At 37.5% G+C, this 12762-nt stretch overlaps 1 annotated feature.

The window, feature by feature from the left end:
- Positions 2769–3358: an enhancer, noted in NCBI's record as "OCT4-NANOG hESC enhancer chr9:106477063-106477652 (GRCh37/hg19 assembly coordinates)". NCBI's record gives its function as "activates a minimal SCP1, AML or CMV promoter by ChIP-STARR-seq in primed H9 embryonic stem cells {active_cell/tissue: H9 hESC(primed)}" and the evidence as "EXISTENCE:reporter gene assay evidence [ECO:0000049][PMID:30033119]".

Raw genomic sequence — 12762 nt, 5'->3', positions numbered from 1 at the left:
AAAGAGAATAAAATACTTAGGAATCCAACTTACAAGGGACGTGAAGGACTTCTTCAAGGAGAACTACAAAGCACTACTCAATGAAATAAAAGAGGATACAAACAAATGGAAGACCATTCCATGCTCATGGGTAGGAAGAATCAATATCGTGGAAATGGCCATTCTGCCCAAGGTAATTTATAGATTCAATGCCATCCCCATCAAGCTACCAATGACTTTCTTCACAGAATTGGAAAAAACTACTTTAAAGTTCATATGGAACCAAAAAAGAGCCCGCATCACCAAGTCAATCCTAAGCCAAAAGAACAAAGCTGGAGGCATCACACTACCTGACTTCAAACTATACTACAAGGCTACAGTAACCAAAACAGCATGGTACTGGTACCAAAACAGAGATATAGTCAATGGAACAGAACAGAGCCCTCAGAAATAACGCCGCGTATCTACAACTATCTGATCTTTGACAAACCTGAGAAAAACAAGCAATGGGGAAAGGATTCCCTATTTAATAAATGGTGCTGGGAAAACTGGCTAGCCATATGTAGAAAGCTGAAACTGAATCCCTTCCTTACACCTTATACAAAAATTAATTCAAGATGGATTAAAGACTTACATGTTAGACCTAAAACCATAAAAACCCTAGAAGAAAACCTAGGCATTACCATTCAGGACATAGGCATGGGCAAGGACTTCATGTCTAAAACACCAAAAGCAATGGCAATAAAAGACAAAATTGACAAATGGGATCTAATTAAACTAAAGAGCTTCTGCACAGCAAAAGAAACTACCATCAGAGTGAACAGGCATCCTACAAAATGGGAGAAGATTTTCACAACCTACTCATCTGATAAAGGGCTAATATCCAGAATCTACAATGAACTCAAACAAATTTACAAGAAAAAAACAAACAACCCCATCAAAAAGTGGGCAAAGGACATGAACAGACACTTCTCAAAAGAAGACATTTATGCAGCCAAAAGACACATGAAAAAATGCTCATCATCACTGGCCATCAGAGAAATGTAAATCAAAACCACAATGAGATACCATCTCACACCAGTTAGAATGGCAATCATTAAAAAGTCAGGAAACAACAGGTGCTGGAGAGGATGTGGAGAAATAGGAACACTTTTACACTGTTGGTGGGACTGTAAACTAGTTCAACCATTGTGGAAGTCAGTGTGGCCATTCCTGAGGGATCTAGAACTAGAAATATCATTTGACCCAGCCATCCCATTACTGGGTATATACCCAAAGGACTATAAATCATGCTGCTGTAAAAACACATGCACACGTATGTTTATTGCGGCACTATTCACAATAGCAAAGACTTGGAACCAACCCAAATGTCCAACAACGATAGACTGGATTAAGAAAATGTGGCACATATACACCATGGAATACTATGCAGCCATAAAAAATGATGAGTTCATGTCCTTTGTAGGGACATGGATGAAATTGGAAATCATCATTCTCAGTAAACTATCGCAAGAACAAAAAACCAAACACCGCATATTCTCACTCATACGTGGGAATTGAACAATGAGATCACATGGACACAGGAAGGGGAACATCACACTCTGGGGACTGTTGTGGGGTGGAGGGAGGGGGGAGGGATAGCATTAGGAGATATGCCTAATGCTAAATGACGAGTTAATGGGTGCAGCACACCAGCATGGCACATGTATACATATGTAACAAACCTGCATATTGTGCACATGTACCCTAAAACTTAAAGTATAATAATAATAAAATAAAAATAAATAAATAAATAAATAAATAAATAAATTGAATGTTGTATCATTTGGGGTTTAGGCAGGAAACAGAGACCACAAATTAATTTGAACAGAACATTTTATGTAAAGAATGAGCCTGGCCAACATAGTGAAACCCCATCTTTACTAAAAATACAAAAAATTAGCTGGGCGTGGTGGCAGGCACCTGTAATCCCAGCTACTCGGGAGGCTGAGGCAGGAGAATCGCTTGAAACTGGGAGGCGGAGGTTGTGGTGAGCTGAGATCGCACCATTGCCCTCCAGCCTGGGCAACAAGAGTGAAACTTTGCCTCAAAAAATAATAATAAAAAAAGAATTATTAATCAATTATCTCAGCACTAACTCACGATTAACTAGTAAGTGTTAAAGATAGTTCTAAAAATCATAGGAAAAGCAGATATGGGGAGCCAACTTATACTTAGGGCTGATGCAGAGTACCCAAGTGTGAAAGGAAAATATCTTGGGCCCCCAAATCACTATGCTAAAAGGAAAATTCTAGTTGAGAACTCAAAGCCATCTTTCTGCTCACTGAAATAAATGCATATCTGATTGCCTTCTTTGCAAAGGCTAATCAGAAGCTCAAAAGAATGCAACCATTTTTCTCTCACCTACCTGTGACCTGGAAGTCCCCTCCCCTTGGACCTTTCTGGACCAAACCAATGTTCATTTTACACATATTGATTGATGTCTTATGTCTCCCTAAAATGTATAAAACCAAGCTGTGCTCTGACCACCTTGGGCACATGTCTTCAGGACCTCCTGAGGCTGTGTCACGAGTATGTGTTCTCAACCTTGGCAAAATTAACTGTCTGAATTAATTGACACCTGTTTCAAATTTTCAGGGTTCACACAAGGAAGAAAAAAATTTAGAAGATACACTCCCTACTCTAAGGTAGGGATCCAGATGTCATTGGAGAAGGAGTGACTGTAGCCTACTGGATAGTTGAGTATTATGTGGAGGCACCACAGGCTGAGGCTGGTAAGCAGGAGACTGCCCATTGGAGTGCTGACAAAACTTTCCAGGAGGCTGCCTTCTAGGGCACTGAAAGTCACTAGCAAGCTGCCACTAGGGCAACTCTGAGACAGCTGGGAAGCCAGCTGTGGTGCTGGTGGAGCTTGCTGGAAATCCTACTGTGGAATTTGCACTAAATTTCCTGGGAAACTGGCTGTGGTATTTGTGGAATTTGTTGAGAAAGCTACCTGCTGAAATTAGACTGACCTCCCTAAAAAGCCCCCTAGGATGCTGACAGATCTATGGGGTTTCAGGGCAACTCACAGAGAGGTAAACATCACCAGGTGCCCTGCATAGAGATCAGCACTGCAGCAGTAAGAAAAGAGGAATACAGCGAAACCAGAAAGAGAAGCCCCTTCCTCTGTAGTGTCCCTCCAGCATCCTCTACCAACAATTACAGTTTAACATCACACCAGCTGGCAAAAGACCTATGTTTACAGGATGTGGATCCAGTATCACAAAGCAGGCAATAAAGGATGGATTTGTCGCTAAGAGGCAATTTGTTGATAACTGACATAAAGAACACTAATAGCTTTCATTGGTGGAAATCTGGGTTGGTTGCAATGAATTATACAAATTAAAAGCAGTCTGCAGTCTTCCACCGTAGTTGAACTAATTTACATTCCTACCAACGGCGTAAAACCATTTCTTTTTCTCCATAACCTTACCAGCATCTGTTATGTTTTGACTTTTTAATAATAGCCATTCTGACTGGTGGGAGATGGTATCTCATTTGGTTTTGATTTGCATTTGTCTAATGACCAGTGATCTTGAGCTTTTCATATGGTAGTTGGCTGCATTTATGTCTTCTTTTGAGAAGTGTCTTGTTCATGTCCTTTGCCCACTTTTTAATGGAGTTGTTGGTTTTTGTTTTTGTTTTGTAAGTTCCTTATAGATGCTGGATATTAGACCTTTGCCAGATACATAGTTTGCAAAAATTTTCTCCCATTTTGTTGGTTGTCTGTGTACTCTATTGATAGTTTCATTTGCTGTGTAGAAGCTCCTTAATTAGATCCCATTTGTCAATTTTGCTTTGTTGTAATTGCTTTTGGCATCTTTGTCATGAAATCATTGCCTGTGTGTACGTCCTGAATAGTACTGCCTACAATAAAGTATAACAGCTCAAATTCAGGGGTATCACTGACCTAACAACTCACATACTCTATGTTATCTATGGTTACATAATAAATCACCCCAAAATTTAGGAGCTTAGAACAACACACATTATTCTCTTGCAGTTTCTGTAGGTCTAGACTCTGGGAATGGCTTAATGAGTCTTCTGCTTCAGGGTCTTTTATAAGACTGCAACTGATGTATAGTTAAGACCATGGTTTTCTTTGAAGGTTTGAATGTTTCCAAAATTATGCGCATGGTTCTTGATAAATTGATATTCTCAAGGATATGTGGATTGAGAGCTTTACTTTCTTACTGGCTATTGGCTGACATCCACTCTTAGCTCCTTGCCACATGAGCCTCTCCATAGGGTAGCTCAAAACATGGCATTTTGTTTCATCACAGCGAGTGCATGAGATGAGTCAGAAAGAATGCCATAAGATAAAAGTCACAGCCTTTTGTAGTCTAATTTTGGAATTGCTATTGCCATATTCTACTTGTTAGGAGAAAGTCACTAGGTCTCGTCCACACACAAGGGAGGAATAGCACAAAGGCATAAGGAAATGAAGATCTTTGTAAGTCATCTCAAAAGCTGTCTACCACAAAGAATCTTATGAGGACTGAATAAAATAATGGCTATGAAAATACTTAACATAGAAAGTGTTTTTTTGTAATGATTAGGGTTATTAGTCCACAAGGTATAGTTTTGTTTTTAATTTCTAATTTGAATTTCTGTTCTAGTAAATTAACTGGTTCTCTCATTGCATTTTATAACTGGAAGTTGACTTGGCACTAGTTAGTTACACTCTGGGAATTAGAAAGAACCATGCCAAATCCCTGAACACCAGGCACTAAGGTTGATGTAATTATTTCCAGGGTCAGGCATTGCAGGTTTATACTGCCTGGACATAGAAAATTGATTCCACATTATTTTCTCATTTATTTGTTTTGTCACTGGCTCAGTCTTAGAGCCACACTTTTGCTGAACACCTTGTCTGTTAAGCCAATTCCTTTGGCCAGCCTTCTGAGAAAGTATGACATTTGACACAGGGCTTACTTTTCTCTGTTTACAGTATGTGCGTGTGTGAGCTGGGGGTAATGGTGGGGGCTGGGGGGAGGCTTTATGCCATGCCATATTGCTAGCCTATTCTTTTTTTGTGTGATTTTAGAAAACTTTTATGGAACGTGTAACACACATGCAGAAAAATACACATATCTTAACTTAATACCATAGTCTTAACTAGTGTTCTAAAATTATACCATCATGACTTGTGGAAAAGTGGATAACCATAGCATTTCCAATGTTTCAGAGAAATATAGGATGATTCAGTGAAAAAAAAATATATATATATAATATATATACACACACACACACATATATGTATAATACATATATACACACAGACATGCATTACATATATGTGTGTATATATATTATATATGTAATACACACATGCACACATATACAAATATGGTATGGAGACAAGAGTAAACATGGGCATTTAAGAAAAATAATCAGAAAGTCCTAGCCAGAGTGATCAGGCAAGATAAAGAAATAAACGGCATCCAAATAGGAAAAGAAGTCAAATTATTTATCTTGCTGACAATAAGGTTCCATACCTAAAAAACCCTAAATACTCTGCCAAAATGCTCCTAGACCTCATAAACACTACAGTAAAGTTTCAGGCTACAAAATCAATGTACAAAAATCAGTAGTATTTCTATACACCAATAACTTTCTAGCTGAGAGCCAAATCAAGAATACAATCTTGTTTACAATAGCCACAAAAAATACAATGCCTAGGAATATATCTAACCAAGGAGATGAAAAATATTTACAAGGAGCACTACAGAACACTGCTGAAATACATCAGACATGACACAAACAAATGGAAAAACATTTCATGCTCATGGATTGGTACGATCAATATCATTAAAATTGTCATGTCGCTCAAAGCAATTTACAGATTCAACACAATTCCTGTCAAATTACCAGTGTTATTTTTCATAGAATTAGAAAAAACTAATCTAGAATTCATATAGAGCAAAAAAAAAAAAATCCAAATCACCAAAGCAATCCTAAGCAAAAAGAACAAAGTTGAGGAATCACATTACCCAACTTCAAACTATACTGTAAGGCTACAGTAACCAAAACAATATGGCATTGGTACAAAAACAGACATATAGACAAATGGAATAAAATGGAGAATCCCAAAACAAATCCACACACCTACAACCATCTAATCTTTGACAAAGATGACAAAAAGAGCAATGGGGAATAGACTCTCTATTCAATAAATTATGCTGGGATAACTGGCTAGCCATATACAGAAGAATGAAACTGGACCCCTACCTTTTACCACGTAGAAAAATCAACTCAAGATGGATTGAAGATTTAAATCTGAGATATCAAACTATAAAATTCCTAGAAGCTAACCTAGGAAATACCATTCTGGACACGGGGCTTAGCAAATAATTTATGACTAACTCCTCAAAAGCAATGTCAACAAAAAATTGACAAGTGGGTGCTAATTAAACTAAATAACTTTTTGCACAGCAAAAGAAACTGTCAACAGAATAAACAGACAACCCACACAATGGGAGAAAATATTTGCAAACTATGTATCCAACAAGGGTCTAATATCCAGAATCTATAAGGAACTTAATTCAATAAGAAAAACAAGTAACCTAATATAAAAAGAGGAAAAGGACATGAAAAACATTTCTCAAAAGAAGACATACAAGCAACCAAAACACCTATGAAAAAATGCTCAATAGTGATAATCATAAGAAAAGTACAAATCAAAACTGTAATAAAATACTATCTCATACCAGTCAGAATGGCTACTACTAAAAGAAAAAAAAATAACAGATGCTGGTGGGGCAGTGGAGAAAAGGAACCCTTACACACTCTTGATGGGAATGTAAAGTAGTTTGGCCTCTGAGAAGAGCAGTCTGGAGGTTTCTCAAATAATTTAAAACATAACTACCATTTGATCCAGCAATCCCATTACTGGGTACATATCCAGAAGAAAATAAATTGTTCTACAAAAAAGACCCATGCAATCGTATGTCCACTGCAGTGACTAGTACTGCAATGGGTATATGAGTGTATCAACTTAGGTGCCCATTAATGATGGACTGGATAAAGGAAATATGCTACATATACATCACAGAATTATATGCAGCCACAACAAAGAATGAAATCATGTCCTTTGCAGTGACATAGATGGAGCCAGAGGTCATCATCCTAAGCAAATTCACACTGAAACAGAAAACCAAATACTCTATGTTCTCACTTAGAAGTGGGAGCTAAGCATTGGGTACAAATCGACATAAAGATGGGAATAATAAACACTGGAGACTACTAGAGGAAGGAAAAAGGAAGGGAGGCAAGGCTGAAAAACTGCCTATTGGGCACTATGCTCACTACCTGGGTAAAGGGATATTTCATACCCTAAATCTCAGCATCATACAATATACCCATGTAACAAACCTGCACATGTACCCCCTGAATCTAAAATAAAAGTTGAAATTTTTTTTTCTTTCTTTTTTTTTTATTATTATACTTTTAAGTTTTAGGGTACATGTGCACATTGTGCAGGTTAGTTACATATGTATACATGTGCCATGCTGGTGCGCTGCACCCACTAACTCGTCATCTAGCATTAGGTATATCTCCCAGTGCTATCCCTCCCGCCTCCCCCCACCCCACAACAGTCCCCAGAGTGTGATGTTCCCCTTCCTGTGTCCATGTGTGTAAACTAGTTCAACCATTGTGGAAGTCAGTGTGGCAATTCCTCAGGGATCTAGAACTGGAAATACCATTTGACCCAGCCATCTCATTACTGGGTATATACCCAAAGGACTATAAATCATGCTGCTATAAAGACACACGCACACGTATGTTTATTGCGGCATTATTCACAATAGCGAAGACTTGGAACCAACCCAAATGTCCAACAATGATAGACTGGATTAAGAAAATGTGGCACATACACACCATGGAATACTATGCAGCCATAAAAAATGATGAGTTCATGTCCTTTGTAGGGACATGGATGAAATTGGAAATCATCATTCTCAGTAAACTATCGCAAGAACAAAAAACCAAACACTGCATATTCTCACTCATAGGTGGGAATTGAACAATGAGATATTATTTTTTTAAAAGAAAAATAACCAGTGATTCTGAAACAAATTTTTATGTAAGTCTTAACTGGCAATCTCAACTATGGAACCTAAGAATGGCTATGAAGTTGGAAAGATTATTTAGCAAAGGAAAATATTTAAAATGATTAGCAGTTTTTCTGTGAAGACTAAATTCAGCTTCTTGTGCTAGTGAAATTTTGTCATTTTTGAGGTCAATGTCATTAACCTTGCTCTCTTTTGGTCATAGTAGACAACTGTTCTCCACAGCAGGACAGGAATCTGTAATGTTGCAATAGTTTATGAAGAGTCAGTTATATAATTGGAACTTTACATGCATGTGGAGCTCCTTATTCCCACTAGCAGTTGTTAAAGCATAATCCCTCATGAGTTTAAGTTCTACCCAAATTGTGGAGCTTCTTTTGGTTTATTGGAAGATTCTCATTTTAATAGTTTCCTAATGTCTCACCTCAAATTTCATGCCATTATTTCATATAAACTGAAACCAAGTTCCTCTTGTTTTAGTTACAAATGGCAAGGATTCAAACCTTGGCAAGGCTTAAAAAGGTTTGCAAGGAAGTTTTCCAATTATGCTGCTCTGCCTGATTTTGTCTTTCTGGATTCACCATTACAAGGGTCTTAGGAATGATGCTTCTGTTATTGAGGGATATATCTGATTGAGAAATGAAAAAAGGAATCTTACAAGAACCTTTCCCACCTTTTAAGAATCCAAGGCATTTTTCCAGTAGACAAGGCAATAGTTACCAGTGAATAAAACAAGGAAGAAAACTCAGGATCTACCCTTACAGCAAATTTCAAGTACGTATATAATGTTCTATTATTAACTATAGTCACATTGCTGTACATTAGACTTCCAGAGCTTATTCATCTTGCATAACTGAAACTTTGTACTCCTCGTCCAACATCTGTTTCTACTTCCCTACAACCCCTAGAAACCACCATTCTACTCTCTGCTTGTATGAATTGGTGTATTCTAGATTCCACATATAAGTGAGATACTTGAAATAAATGTCAAAGTGTACACCATGTGTGTATTTGTTAACACAATAAAGCTGGAAAAAATTAAGAGAATGGTGAAAGTTTGAAAAAAATAGAAATGATTCATTCCTGTCTTGAAAATAACACCATCCAACATCTCCTTCACATGCCTAATGTTGCACCCCTCTCAACTGTTGTAGGAGACTTCTAGAATAACCCCTAAGATTCCCACTCCTGCCCCAACATACACATACTGTACAATCTCTCTATGAGTGTGCATGGAGCTTGTGAACATAATTGATGTCACTTCTGTGATTAGGTTACATTGTATGGCAGAGGTGAAGAGATTTAAGCAGATCTTATTAAGGTTCCAAATCACTTTAAGGTGATCAAAGAGGAAATTATCACACGCAGGCCTGGCATAACCAGATGAGCCCTTTAAAAGAGTTTCTAGAGTTCAGAGATTTGAAGGAGCAGATTTTCTCTTTCTCTGGGTTGCTGATTTTGAAGCAAGCTGCCATAAATTCTAGAGCTGTAAGGAAATGAATTCTGCCACTAACCACAGGAGTTTGGAAGAGTGCTCCAACCCTCAGATGGGATCAAAGCCCCAGCTGACACCCCAATTTCAGGTTGATGAGACTGAGCAGAAGACCAGTTAAGCCAGGCACAAATTCTTGAGCTACAGAAACTATGAAGCAATACAACTATACTGTTTTCAGCCACAAATTTTGTAGAAATTTGTTAAGCGGAAATAGATAATGAATACAAATTTTGGTACCAGGAAGTAGAATGATGCTGTAAAAAAAAAATACTTAAAATGTAGGTGTGGTTTTAGTACTAAACAGTAGTTAAGGCTAGAATAATTTTGAAGAACATGATGAAGAATGTGTCAATGGCCTTGAATGTAGTGTTGGAATTACTGACCATAGGAATGCTGCTGGTGAGAGTTCAGAAAGAAGTGAGGAACATGTAATTAAAAACTGGAAGAAAAGAGATCCTTGTAATGTACTGGTAGAGAACATAGTGAAGTTATATGGAAAACAGAATTTCTAAACAACGAAGTTGATTATGTGGCTAAAGAAATTTCCAAACAAAGACTCAAGGCTGCTACCTGGCTTCTTCCTTGTAATGAAATGTGACAAGGGAGAGAGAAATTGAGGGGAGAACTGCTAAACAAAAAGAACTAGGACCAGATAACTTTGAAAATCTCAGCCTCTCCAGGTGGCAAAAGATGGTAAAAGTCAGAAATGACAGCTGAACATGTGGCATAAAGAAATGGCTGAGTATGTAACTGTTCAACCTTTTACTACAACTTCTGAAAGATCAAAAGGTCAGAATATTCAGTCACATAAAAGGTCATTTCACAGAAATTAACTGTGCGCCTTACAGACACCCTCAATCAAACCAGAGGGCCTGTAGGAAACTTAAGAGCACTGTCTCTCAGCCATCTCATTAGGAACCAAAGATAAAAGATTATCTGGAAAAAAACATGGTAGGTGTGGCTTTTGTCTAATGGGGTGAAACCCAATAAAATCCATGCAAGATTCTCACCATTCTTGAGAAAATTATTTCAGCAGAAATGCTGCCAAGTTGAACTAAACGGGATAGAGAATATAAAATGAAAGAAGGCTGTCAGAATCCCAAGATTCTACTGGCAGGAAGTAGGCTAATAAAACTACTGTACTCAGCTGAAAAAACATCCTTTCCTATAAAAGGAATGACTCAGTGGGCAGAACCAAGGGCATTGATTGAGGAAGGAACTGAAAGCCAAGGAGAATTATTCTCAGGCTTTGAAACCCAATCAAGGAACTCTAGCTGGATTTCAGAACTGTTATGGACAAGTGGGTCCTTTCTACCTTCCATTTTTCCCCTCTCTTGAACTGGAATGTTTGTAACTACCGTCATATGCCTGTCCTACCTTTTTATGTTAAGTACATGGAGGGTAAATAACGTAGTGCTTTAGTTTCACAGGTGTACATATGGACAGAAATTGAGTTCCAGGTGGTGTACTTAACAGTTCACATCTGGGAGCCTCTTGCTCACTTGTATCTGATTTAAATGATGAGATTTTGGACTTTGAGCTGATGCTGAATGGCATAAAATTCTTAGGAATCTTTGGAAAATATGAATGTATTTTGCAAGTGTGAAGGAAGTGATTTATTAAGAGCTATGGAGTGGACTGTTGCCAGCAAAGCTCTAAGATGGCTCCTAAGATTTCCACTCCCTGGCATAAAAACTATATATAATACTATCCCTTGAATATGGGCAATATCTGTGAATATGATGGATATCACTCTCATTATTAGGTTACATTATACAGTGACCTCAAGGAATTTTTTCAGATATAAAGTTAATTTAAAGAAATATTATTTCGGGTGGGCTTGACCCAATCAAGTGATTCCTTAAAAGAGGGTCTAGAGGTCAGAGATTTTCCTATTGGTCTTAAAGGAGTAAGTTACCATGCTGTCCAGGACCTGAGAGAGAGTCATGTGGCAGGGAACTAAGGGTGGCCTCAAGCTACTGAGAGGAGCCTCAGCTGATAGGTAGCAAAGAGATAGGGACCTCCATCTTACAAATTCAATAACTGAATTCTGCTAACAACCAGGTGATCTTAGAAGAGAACCCTGAGGTCTGTAAGGGCATGCAGCCTAGCCAACACCTTGATTACAGCCTTGTGAGATCCTGAGCAGAGGACCCAATGAGACTGTGCCTGGGATTCTGAACCATGGAAACTGTGAGATAGTAAATGGGTGTTGTTTAAAGTTACTGCATATGTGGTAATTTTTTACATAGCAATAGACAACTAATTCTGTATCATTCAAGGTTCAGCTAGAGAAGCAGAATCAGTAGGATATGATTTTGTAATTTGGGGGGCTGGCTGAAGAAGTCTGAAATCTGTAGAACAGGCAGGAAGGAACAATCACAAGTCTTTTATTAGATATACGTATTGAAAATGTCTTCTACTCTGGCTTGTTTTTTCAACTTTTGGAATTTTTTTTCTTTATGGTTAGTGATTGCTGTATCCTATTTATAGTGTCTTTGTCTAGTCCAGTGCAATGAAGCTAGTCACCTGTATTTACTTCAAAAAGCTTTATTATTTCACCTTTAAATTTAGATATATACTGTATCTGGAGTTTAATTTCTTGTATTTTATGAGATAGTGGCAACATACATTGTTTTCAAAATGACTATCTGGTGCCATTTACTAAGAAGAATGGACTTTTTATATTACACTGCAGTGATATGCTTGTCATAAATTATTCCTTGGCAATATATGTATGCCTATTTCTAGAACCTTTATAATGCTCCATGGATCTATTCGTCTGCGCTGTGTCAATATCACAATGCCTTAATATCTATGGCTTTGAAATATAAATCAACAAGTGTTAGTGTACGTCCCCAACTTTTAAAATTTATGATTGCCTTGGATATCATTGATCCTTCCATTTTCTTAAAATTTAGAATTTGCTCGTCATTTTCTATACGATAATTCTGAGATTTTACTTGGTTTTGCATTTAATCTAAAGATCAATTTGGGGCTACTTGACATCTTTAGAATATTGAGTCTTCCAATGCATGAAAAGAATTGTTCAATTCTGTGCTACTAATAAAGTAAAATCCTGAAAGAGAATTTTGTAGGAAATACATGTATTCTAAAATTGGCCCAAAGACTTTTTCTAACTTAACAGATATGAGTTATCTCAGCAAAAGAATG

The sequence above is a fragment of the Homo sapiens genome, chromosome 9, assembly GCF_000001405.40.
Source record: "Homo sapiens chromosome 9, GRCh38.p14 Primary Assembly".
Lineage (NCBI taxonomy): Eukaryota > Metazoa > Chordata > Mammalia > Primates > Hominidae > Homo > Homo sapiens.
The sequence above is the reverse complement of the archived record's forward strand: the minus strand, read 5'-3'. Positions and strand labels throughout refer to the sequence as shown.